The following is a 12,789-nucleotide window of genomic DNA, read 5'->3' as shown; positions in this document are numbered from 1 at the left end:
GCATGGAGGGGAGAGGGCTTCCCTGCACCAAGATCTTTGTATAGGAAGAGTAGGGTGACTCTGGCTGCTGAACCAGGCAAGAAGGAGCTCCAAATACTCATAGATCTGCCTGAGCATGAAGCAGAGAGGGCATCCTTGCTCCAGAATCTCTGCACAGAATGGTGGGGCAGCTTGGGCTACCAATGTGGATGAGCCAGTGCTTTGAATGTCTGGAGAGCTACCTGGGAGTGGAATGGGGAGGGCACTGCTGTACCACATTCTATGTCCAGGAAGGGTGGGGTGGGTCAGACTGGTGATCCAGGTGAGCATGTGCTCTGAATACCTGGAGATCTGCCTGGACATTGAACAGAGAGGGCTCTACTGCACCAAGATCTCCCCACAGGAAGAGTGTGGCACCTCAAGTTGCTAGTCCATACAAGCAGGTGCTCTTAACGCCTGGATATCTGCCTTGGCGTGAAGCAGAAGGGCCCACTTAACCATGATCTATGCCCAAGAAAGGTGGAGTTGCTTAGGCAACTGAACCAGGTGAGTACAGAATGCCTGGAGATCCTCCTGGAGGTGGACCCGACGGGTCTCTACTGTACTGTGATTTCAGAGGAGCAGGCTGGGGCACCCAGCAATGATACATGAGACTAGTTCTAGGTCACCATGCTGGCCCTGGCTGCAGGTCTTGTGGCCCAGGATAAATTGCAGCTGCCCCAGGCCTACAACGGGGGAAAGCACCATTCCAGTGCCTACAGCTGAGGCATTTACTGCAATTCTGGCTGTGTGTGTCCCTACCCTATTTTAGAACAATTTTCCAATCTCTGGCCTAAAACAAAAATGCCTGCATGGCTATATTGCTGGGTCACCAAAGAATGGCTGATTTTGTGTGTGCCTGGGTTAAAGGTGGCTTCCTGTTCTCTGTCCCAGGTCAGGGAAAATGCCTGCAGCTTTTCCCAGTGTCTTTCTCTCTCAGCACCTCCAAGTCTATCCCCAAGATAGCTCAGGGGCTTGGGGGAAACAAAGCACTCTTCCTCAGCCTGGGTTGCTCGGATCCCGTGGAAAGGTGAGTCACAGAGGGAGGCTCCCGGCCTCTCTCAAGTACTGGGGCTTTACTCACTTTTATCAGCTGGATGCTGTGACAGGGCCTGTTTGCTCACGTTCTCCTCTCTGGGATCTGGGGTGTCCTTCATGATTTTGGTGGATTCTCATTTTCCTTCTTGAATTAAAACTAAAAGAGTTGATCTCTATGTACTATCTTACTATTTCCAAGTAGCCAAGGCATGCTAAAAGCCTCTAATCCACAACTTGGAAAGAAAAAGCAAGTTGCTTTTTTGACTCACCATTATATTTTGAAATCTTGATCCATTTTAAATGCTGTGAACATACCACCATTTATATTTTTTCTACCGCTTTGAACATTTTACCCTGTCTTCCGTGTGCTTATTCAGGAGTTATCCATAAAAAAAGGTCTACAAATATGTCCTCAACTTTACTAGATATGCCAAATTCCTCTTCAAAATGGAATATAAATTGTATCCATTAATTTTCCCATCAGTTCTGAATGAACGTTTTTACTTCCCTTCACTTTTGCCAATATTTGCTATTATCGGATTTTAAACATTTTTTGCCAATTTTGGGGTAACAAAATAGTAACTTTTTATTGTTTTAATATGGATTTTCTGCTTACTCATAAACTTAAGCAGGTTTTTATATATTTATTGACAATTTATATTTATTCATTTGTGAATTGCCTGTTTATGTCCATTGCATACTTTTCTAATGGGCAATATGGCTTATTGATTTGTAGGAGTCATGTAAAGTTAGTTATATGCATTGTAAACATCTTCTCCTTGTCTTTTTTCTCTGTCCATGTACAAGTTTAAAGTTTTAATATATCTATATGCCAATATTTTCCTTGAAGGTGTGTGGGTTTTGTATATTGTTTGACAAATTCTTTCCTATACTAAGATAAGGATTCCAGTAATGTATGTATGATGGTTAATTTATGTGTCAACTTGACTGGCCTCAGGGATGCCCAAGTAGCTGGTAAAACATTACTTCTGGATGTATCTGTGAAGGTGTTTCTGGAGGACATTAGCATTTGAATCAGTAGACTGGGTAAAGAAGATCTCTCTCACCAATGTGGGTGGGCCTCATCTAATCTTTTGAGGACATGAAGGGTAAAAAAGTCACATTTTTTGCTTGGCTATAACATCCATCTTCTCTTGCTCTTGGACATTGGAGCTCCTGGTTCTCAGGCTTTTGGACTCCAGGACTAGTACCAGTGACCCCACCCCCACCATCATCTCTCTAGTTCTCAGGCTTTCCAATTCATCTGGGAGGTACCCCATTGAGTTATTAGACCTTTGGTTCTCAGGCCTTCAAACTCACTGAATTGCACCACTGGCTTTCCTTGTTTTCTAGCTTTCAGATGGCAGATCATGGGACTCAGTTTCCAAAATCATGTGAGCCAATTCCCATAATCTGTCTCTCTCTCTGTCTGTGTACACACACACACACACACACACACACACACACACACACTTATTCTATAGGCTCTGTTTCTCTGGAGAACCCTGACTGTGTATCTGTATATGTGTATATATGTGTGTATGATATAGGGACTTAATTTTTTAAATTTTCATTAAGAAAATAATCAAATAATCACGATTTCAGGACCAAATTTGGGAGGAAAATATGTATATATATATCCCCTAACAAAAATCTACATGACTGCTTCCAACCTGAGTTTTCCTTTTGGTCTCTTTGTGCCCTTGCTCCCCAGGCATGGGAAAGAACAGATTCAGACTAGCATAGGAAGACCTCACTCCTAAGGAACTTTTCTCAATAGCTTTCCAGGGTTGGGGCTGATTTTTTTTTTTTTTTTTTTTTTTTGAGATGGAGTTTCGCACTTGTTGCCCAGGCTGCAGTGCAATGCGTGATCTTGGCTCACCACAACCTCCACCTCCCGGGTTCAAGCGATTCTCCTGCCTCAGCCTCCCGAGTAGCTGGGATTACAGGCATGTGCCACCATGCCCGGCCAATGTTGTATTTTTAGTAGAGATGGGGTTTCTCCATGTTGGTCAGGCCGATCTCAAACTCCCGACCTCAGGTGATCCACCTGCGTTGGCCTCCCAAAGTGCTGGGATTACAGGCGTGAGCCACCGCACCCGGCTGGGGCTGCTTTTTTGGGAAACAGGAAAGGCCATGAAAAACATATCCCACTACTTGCTGCAATATTCACTTCATTGTGCTTCTATGAAAGATATACAACTTTGGACCTATGTACACGTGAGGCTTTAAAGGAAAATGAGTCAAGACATAAAATTACCTACTATTTTATCCTTGGAACAGCCCCGTTGATGAATTCTTGGAATAAGGGGAGAGCGGCGCTACTGTTGATGAACAAGGGAGTCAGTCAGTTATGGCACAGCATCAGTGCAGTCCAACCCTCTAGCAAGAAATGTAAGCAGGACCAAATAACACCTCTAGACTCTGCAGGTATAGCCTGATGTTTGCTCAATCCAGCATCAGATGTCTCTGAAGTCTAAGACCATTTTTAAACCAATCTGAAGTCTAGGACCATTTTTAAACCAATCTATCCTTTCCCTACTATTTTTAATGCCACTTTTGTTACATAGCAAGTTGTCGCACATTCATGAGCCTCTTTCTAGGGTACTTTGTTCTTTTGATCCAGATCTGTGCCAATAATATTCTGTTTTAAATATAACAATTTTATAAACAATATTAATATTGATCATGTAAATTCCCCTTATTATTCTTTCCTTTCAAATTTTTTTTGTCTTTTTTGACTCTTAATTCTTTAATATAAATTTTAGGCTCATTCTGTCGAATTCTGTCCATAACTCTGTAGTGATTTTCATTATGATTATATTGAGTTTAAAGATTAATCTGAAAATAATGTCCATCTTTATAATATTGAGCATTCCCATTCACACATTAACATACAATTGGCCCTCTGTATCTGCGGGTTCTGTGAATTCAACCAACCACGATTCAACATATTTGGAAAAAATAATAATAATAATAAATTAAAAATGTAGTATAACAACTATTTACATAGCATTTGTATTGTATTAGATATTATAAGTAACCTAGATATGACTTAAAGTAAATGGGAGAATATGTGCAGGTTATGTGCAAATTCTGCACCATTTTATATAAAGTACTTGAGCATCTGCAGATTTTGATATCAATGGAGGGTCTAGGAACTAATTCCCTATGGATACCAATGGATGACTGTAGTTTATTATCCTATTTACTCTATGTTTTCTTTTATCTAATTCAATAAATTAGTTTAGTTTACTTCCTACAATGATGCCTTTTGTTAAATTTATTTCTATGTTTCTCATTGCTTTGATGTAATGTAATATGTATTATAAGCAAATTATTTTTCCTAAACATTATTTTTAGTTGCTAATGTATAGGGCTGCTTTGATTTTTTAATGTAATAATCTTGTATCCAACAATTTTGATTATTAGTTCTTATAATTTTCATGTAGATGTTGAATTGCCTATACAAATAATCTTAGCATGTAAAAATAAGATTTGTGTTCTTTCCTTTCCATTTCTTATATTGCATTTTATTTTTCTTATGTCATTGCACCGGCTAAGATCTCAAATTAAGTGCTAAATAGAAAAATAATTTTAAAAATTCATTTGGCCTAGTGTGGTGGCTCACACCTGTAATCCCAGCATTTTGGGAGGCAGGTGGATCACCTGAGGTCATTAGTTCAAGACCTGCCTGGCCAACATGGTGAAACCCTGTCTCTACTAAAAATACAAAATTAGCTGGGCATGGTGGCACATGCCTGTAATTCCAGCTACTTAGGAGGCCAGGCAGGAGAATTGCTCAAACCCAGAAGGCAGAGGTTGCAGTGAGCTGATATTGAGCCACTGCACTCCAGCCTGGGAGACAGAGTGAGACGTCATCTCAAAAAAAAAAAAAAAAAATTTGTTTTTTCTGGCTTTAATGAGAATATATGTGCATTATATATATATAATATACATGCATTATAAGTTTATAGTTACCTTTAATTAACACAAATCAAGTTGATAAGATTATAATGTATAGGCATTTGAGTGTACAAATGCTTTTTGAAATCTATTCAGATGATTCTTTTGTTAATGTGTTAATGCGGTAAACTTCATTGATTAATTCTTCAATTGTTAAATAAAATATCTTTCCAAAATAAATCTAATCATTAATAATACATTATTGTTCCTTATTTTTCAATTAGTGAATTTAGGCTGTTAAACATTTAATTTTTTGAATCTACTTATAAATTAGAATGACTAAAATGGTACTTTTTTGGACTGATATTGACTTATTTTTACCATCAGGTATACTTTCCTCATAAAATATATTGGAATACTTTCTTAATTTTTCTATATTCTAAAACAATTTTTAGATGATACAGACATTTTCTCTGATGTTTTCGTAAAGTTGCCTATAAAACCAGTTTGTTTTGTCATTGTTGTTTTGTTTGTTTGCTTTATTTTTTAAAGAATTGATTTTATAATACTGATTATTTTACCTGATGGCTATAATTTTTAGAATTTTTAAAGATTTTTAATATGTTTTAAAAACAGAAAGTTACCCTTTCTCCTAAAATTTCAAATTTCATGTTATAAAATTGTTCATAGTATTTTTTAAAAAAACAATGTTACCTCTAGTTAAGTGTCCTTTTCTATTTTCTCATATTATTTTTTGGTGCCTTCTCTCTTTTTGCGCTGATTAGTATTGTCAAAGTTTTATTTATTTTATAAATCTTTGCAACCAAACACATCATAGATTTATTTATTTTTGTTTGCATTCTATTTTCTTAATATCTGATCTTGGTATTTTTATTTCCTTCATTTTGCTTCCTTTTTACTTTCTGTTCTTTTTCTAACTTCTTGACTTGGAAATTTTATTTATTATGTTTTCAGGTTTTTTACTCTGAATTTTATATACAAGGTTCTAAAATCTTCCCCAAGTACCATTTAACTCTATTACATGTGTTGACATATTTTAGTCTTATTTTTTACCACTAAAATTTTTTAATTTATAATTTGATTTCTTGTTTGTTTCATGATTTTTTTATGTTAAAATAATTAGGTGTTAGCCAAGCACAGTGGCTCACGCCTGTAATCCCAGCACTTTGGGAGGCTGAGGTGAGCAGATCACTTGAGCCCAGGAGCTTGAGACAAGTCTGGGCAACATGGTGAAAGCCCCGTCTCTACTATAAAAATACAAAAATTAGCTGGGTGTGGTGGCTCACACCTTTAGTCCCAGCTATTCAGGAGGTAGAGGTGGGTAGATGGCTTGAGCTTGGGAGGTGGAGATTGCAGTGAGCTGAGATGGCACCACTGCACACCAGCCTGGGTGATAGAGCCAGACCTTGTCTCTAATAATAATAATATGTCCATTTATATTTGGCTTTTATGTCCTTTTTTTTTTTCTTTTTTGCACTATACTCACACAACAAGGTGGTTGGTATATAAGCTCTTTGGAGTTTGTTGAAATTGTACCAATCCACTATTTACAGAAACCTCTTTAAGATGCAGAGACACATTCTGCCTCATGCAAATTATTGTATAAAGCATGTTTTGCTGATACGCTGTCTTTGAGCAATCAGAACCAAATCTTTAGCTTTATTTTTTACTGAAGATTCCAAGTATTCTAAATTTGATAGGGGAAGAAAACATTTTTTCAGCCCCCAAAAATGGAAATATCCATAATCAAAAAACTTCATGCCAAACTCTAGTTTAATTTAAAATATATATTTTAAAAAACACCCTGGACCCACATAAAAAAATCATACAATAAGCTCACCTTTCTGGGATATTCTTTTAAACATAACATTCTGCTCCATGCTAGTGCTAGTTATGTTCTCATGACAGGTAGTTGTAGACAAAGAGGCTAAGATAATTCTGCCCAATACACCTTATTTCGTTAACTTTAAAATACACATTTTTTTCATAACATTTTGACATATTTGAATAGAAATGTTTCTATTATACAATAGTGCATTGTAGGTTAATTGGCAGACCCCTTTTCCCCCAATCTTTGTCATGGTATATAAAATAATGATCAATCATAAAAATTTGTGGTCTTAAATTAGATGAAATATATGGTGTTCAAGGCACCTGGGATTCCAAAGTGTCAGATTGTCTCCTTCATCTTTCAAATCTCTGAAGGAAATCTGTGATCTTGCTATATCACTTAACCAAGTTGAGCCTCACTTTCTTCACTTTACAGGACTGTTGCGGAGGGAAGTAAGTGAATGTGTCCAAAACACTTGGAAGTTTGCCTGGAATCCAGTGTGTGCTATACCAGAGTCCTAGTTAGGCGTGGCCTTGAACAGCCCTGAGAATGAACATCTGAGAAGCGTCAATGTGGGATGCCCTGAGATGCAATTAAGAGGAGGAAGGAAACCATGGTTCTATTTTAACATGCCAGCACCATGTAAAAGGTTATTTCTTATGGTTTTCCTTTCAGACCAATTCAAGTGCATATTGGTAGATAATAGGGGTATAATCTGATTTAAATTCATCGATTTTCCTTGTCCCCCACATGAGTTTGCCCTCTTTATTCTCATGAGTCCTTCTTTTCATTAGGAGCTCTAATCCCCTTGCCCCTGCCATTTCCCACCCTGCTCCAGGTGTACTGTCTGTGAAGTGGGGCAATTCCCCCAACATCTTGATGAGAGCAGTTGCAGAAGTCTGAACAATGATAATTCTTGCCAACATTTATAGCTAATGTCTCTTCCACTGTTCTTATCAGACTTATAGTGCAGTGGAGCACTCGCTGCTGACAAGGCTAAAATGACAATGTGATTCTTGTTACTTATTCCTCAGTGGAAGAATGGGACTAACATTCAAGAGAGAAAAATCAAACTCCTTAGCTCTATAACTTTGCTTATAAACAAAACCTGAACTTTCATGCCTCATTCTCAACTTGCAAGGACAGCCAGTCCTTGTCGCGCTATTGTGTCCCACTTTGATGCCCCAGTAGTCCAGGCTCCTTCTCACTAAACACTTGTCATTCCCATAAGCATCTTCCCTTAGCCTTTGGTTCTTCCATGTCTTTCTGCTCACTATTTGAAGAATGTCATTTTCCCTGTTCTATTTTGTTTACCTTCTCATTGTTTTTCAAAGTTCAATGAAAATAGCATCTTTCCCATCATTTTTCTATTTATCAAAACACTTACCAAACACTTAACCTGGGCAAAATAAGGATAAGGATAAATAAGGATAAATAAGATAAGGATAAATAAGGATAAGGATAAATAAGACACAATTCTTATCCTCAAGGATTCTCACAGTCCACTGGAAGAGAGGAACTAGTAAACTGACATATTTTAACACAGCAGATAAAAGCTATTACAGCACTATTAACAACAACAACAACAACAACAAACCTCTGAAAATACATAGGAATGAAGCCACAAGGAAGGTTCAATGATGTCACACTGGAGCTCTATGGAAAGATGAATAGATTTATATCTATTAAGATGTCGTCCTGCGCAGAGCAGAATATGTTAGATGTGGGGCCATGAAGGGAGACATCAGTGTCTGTCTGAAAGGCCCACATGGTAGGAGGCAAGGAGTGACAGAAAGACACAATGGGAAAGAGACATGGAGGCCAGAATGGGGCTGACTTTGTCTATTAAGCTAAATAATTGGAATATTATGGGGCTAGCAATGAGGTGGCACAAAGATTTAGGAACAAGGAAGAGATGTGATCCATTTTTATTTTTCACTAAGATTCATTTTAGTTTGCCAAATGTTGTCACAGACTACCACAGATCTCCTTTTCAGCTTATCAGAAATAAAGATACCAGATTTGCCACATCAGCTTCTCCTGGGGATCAGCACAGGCCACAGGAATTCTGTTTGTTTGTTTGTTTGTTTGTTTGTTTGTTTGTTTTGGAGATGGAGTCTCATTCTGTCAGCCAGGGTGGAGTGCAGTGGCACAATCTTGGCTCACTGCAACCTCTGCCTCCTGGGTTCAAGCGATTCTCATGCCTCAGCTTCCCAAGTAGCTGTGATTACAGGTGTGTGCCACTACACCCAGCTAATTTTTGTATTTTTAGTAGAGATGAGGTTTTGCCATATTGGCCAGGCTGGTCTCAAACTCCTGGCCTCAAGTGATCTCAAACTCCTGGCCTCAAGTAAGTCTGCTTAGGGCTCCCAAAGTGCTGGTATTCCAGGTGTGAGCCACCACGCCAGGAATTCTTATTTTTAAGAGCTCCCTAAGACATGTATGAGGATTAGTTTTATGTGTCAGTGGGAATAATGGATACCTAGATAGCTGGTTAAGTATTATTTCTGGCTATGTCTGTGGGGAAGTTTCTAGAAAAAATTGGCATTTGATTCAATGGACTGAGTAAAAAGATCCACCCTCACCAATGCGGGTGGGCAACATCCAATTGGCAGAAGGTCCAGATAGAACAAAAAAGAGGAAAGGGGGATTTACTCTCTCTCTCCTGAAACTGGGACACCTTTCTTCTCCTATCAGAACTCCAAGTTCTCTGGGTTTCAACTCAGGGACTGGCACCAGCAGTCATTCAGGTTCTCAGGTGTTCAGCCTCATACTAAGTTTCATCATTGACTTGGACTGAACCATGCTAATAAGACAGCCTGGTGGGAAGGGCTCCCTGGAAAAACTCCAACCAGCCTGCTCACTGGGAGGAATGTGCACTGGGCAGAGCCACAGAAGTTCGTGCTGTTTGCAGCGGGGAGGAACCTGGCCCCTCCTCTTCCTGGGTGGAAGCTAGGATTCAAACTGCAAGGCAGGAAGCACAGGAGCAGGGACTCTGGCCTTGTGGAGAGTCCCTGTTCTTCCTTTCTTTCCTTTCTGCCCAATAAATCCCATTCTATTCACCCTTCAAATTGTCTGTGAGCCTAAATTTTCATGGCCGTGTGATAAGGACCCCCGTCTTTAGCTGAACTAAGGAAAAAGTCCTGCAACACTGGCATCTCAGCTTGCAGATGGCTTGTTGCGGGACTTCTCAGCTGCCATACTCATGTGAGTTAATTCCCTTAACAAATCCCCTCTCAAATATCTATATATATATATACTCTTAGTTCTATTTCTCTGGAGAACCATGACTAATACAAGCTGTGTGACAAAAAGCTGACTTGGGAATCCCTAGGTAAAGGATGGCCTACGAGAGGAACATCAGTCAGTAGAAACCAGTTAGCGAATGATTAGGGTAAGAGTGGGAAGAGATGGCAGTTTCCTCAGGAAAGAGAGGAGAGCTCAGATGCAGAGGCCTGCTGAAGTTGCCCCAAGATGAGTCAGAGAAACCTCTTTTATAGTCTCCTGGACACAGTCATTTTACTTTTATTTTATGTCAATTATTTTATCCAAAAAGAATTATGGAAAATATTTATTGGCTAGATCATCTGCTAGGCACTGGAAATATAACAGTGAACAAAACAGGCAAGGACATAAAAACAAATACCTAAGTGAATACAAGAGCAAGTTACTTTTAGATAATTCTAACATTTTTGAAGATATTAAAACAGGGCAATGTGATTGAGCCTGACAGGAAAAGCTTCTTTGAGGACAGGAAACTTGAGATGAGATCTAAGTGGAAACTAGGAATAATGCATGAGAGTATTTGAGGAAGGAGAGAGGGGAAGGGGAGCAAGAGCAGAGTGAGCAAGGTGAGGTGGAATAGTAGATGAGGTCGGGAAGGGAACAAATCCTAGATTTTATAGGGCTTTAAATTGTGGAACGTGAATAAAGTATGGGAAGTCCAGGTTTTATTCTAAATGCTGTTAAACTATAATTTTCAAAAGTTAAAATTATGACTCTACCACAAATATGAAATGAATGCACATCACTAGTGTAATTTAGTTCATTCATTAATAAGGAAACCAGTAAAATGTTAAACTGGTTCAATCAGAATATGATATATATATATATACATCAATATATCTGAAGAATACACAAACACACACACACACAATCAGGAATTGTGAAATAAATTTGCCAATAGAAGCAAAACTCTTAATAGCTATAAGACAATACAACTCAAGACTTAGAATAACCTTTTCCACAGGGTAGAAATCAATTGTATTCTGCCAGGAAAAATCATTTGCATTTCTATAAGCAAGAATCATTTATATTATTACATTTTTTTTTACAATTTATGACTTGTAAAATAAGCCTAAATCCTATAGAATGAGATAATCCTAGAGGGTCATCCAGAGAACATCTAATATTCTCATTAAAAACACACTAATATGGTTTGCCTGTGTCTCCACCCAAATCTCACTTTGAATTGTAATAATCCCCATGTGTCAAGGGTGGGGCCAGGTGGAGATAATTGAATAATGGAGGCAGTTTCCCCCATGTGGTTCTTGTCGTAGTGAATAAGTTTCAGGAGATCTGATGGTTTTATAAATGAGAGTTACCCTGCACAAGCTCTCTTGCCTGCTGCCATGTAAGATGTGACTTTCTCCTCTTTTGCCTTCTGCCATGATTGTGAGGTCTCCCTGGCCACGTGGAACTGGCAGTCCATTAAATCTCTTTTTCTTTATAAATTACCCAGTCTCAAGTCTGTCTTTACTAGCAGTGTGAGAACTGACTAATACAACACCCAGTAATCTCTTTTGCCATTTCAAATCATTTACATTTTTTTTCCTACAGAGCAATGGAAAAACTTTTGGAGACTTTTAATCAGGAGAGTAATATGACCTGATTTACATTTTGAAAACATCACCTTTACTGTACAGTTGATCTTTGTATAGCATAGGTTTGAACTGTGCAGGTTCACTTATATGTGGATTTTTTTCAATAAACCTATTGGAAAAATTTTTGGAGATTTTTGACAATTAGAGAAAACTTGCAGATGAACTGCATGGCCTATAAATATCAAAAAAATAAGAAAAAGGTATGTTAGAAATGCATGAAATATATGCAGATACTAGTCTGTTATCATTTATCATATCAAAATATATGCAAATCTATTATAAAAAGTTAAAAAATCAAAACTTGCACACACAAACACAGATCACAGATGGTGCCATTTACAGTACGGAGAAATGTTAAAAAAGTAAACACATATTAAATCATAACTGCATAAAATAACTGTAGCACATACTATACTACTTTTATAATATAATATATGCTTCCTCTCCCACCTCCTCTACCTCTTCCACCTTTATCACCCCTGAGACAGCAAGACCAACCCTCTCCTTTCTCCTGTTCCTCAGACTACTCAATGTGAAGATGATGAGGATGAAGACCTTTATAATGATCCACTTCCACTTAATGAATAGTAAGTATGTTTTCTCTTCTTCATGATTCTCTGAATAACATTTTCTTTTCTCTAGCTTTCTTTATTACAAGAATACAGTATACAATACACATATCATACAAATATGTGTTAATTGACTGTTAATGTCCTCAGTAAGGCTTCTGGTCAATAGTAGGCTATAAGTAGTTAAGTTTTCGGGTCTGGACTCAAGCGATCCTCCCACCTCAGCCTCCTAAGTAGCTGGGACTACAGGCATGCAGTACCATGCCTGGATAATTTTGAATTTTTTTTGTAGAGATAGGGATTTGCCATTTTTCCCAGACTGGTCTCAAATTCCTGGGCTCAAGTGACCTGCCTGCCTTGGCCTCCCCAAAGTAATGGGATTACAGGCATGAGTTGTTTTGGAAGATTCAAAAGTTATACATGGATTTTCAGCTGCACAGGGTGTCAGTGTCCCTAATCCCCTCGTTGTTCAAGGGTCAACTATATTCTTCTTTCAGTCCATTATCATTGACTAATAATAAAA

The 12,789-nt window shown here is 38.2% G+C and overlaps 1 long non-coding RNA gene across 1 annotated transcript; it reads left to right on the top strand.

Annotated features, from left to right (window-relative positions):
* Window positions 1–285: 285 nt before the first annotated feature.
* LOC105372934 (uncharacterized) lies at window positions 286–12,258 on the top strand. The gene is made up of 3 exons (XR_922622.2): window positions 286–525; window positions 7,250–7,463; window positions 12,220–12,258. It is a non-coding gene; the product is annotated as an uncharacterized LOC105372934 (long non-coding RNA).
* Window positions 12,259–12,789: the final 531 nt, after the last annotated feature.

The sequence above is a fragment of the Homo sapiens genome, chromosome 1 (assembly GCF_000001405.40).
Source record: "Homo sapiens chromosome 1, GRCh38.p14 Primary Assembly".
Taxonomy (NCBI): domain Eukaryota; kingdom Metazoa; phylum Chordata; class Mammalia; order Primates; family Hominidae; genus Homo; species Homo sapiens.
This window is presented reverse-complemented; position numbering and strand designations above follow the sequence as displayed.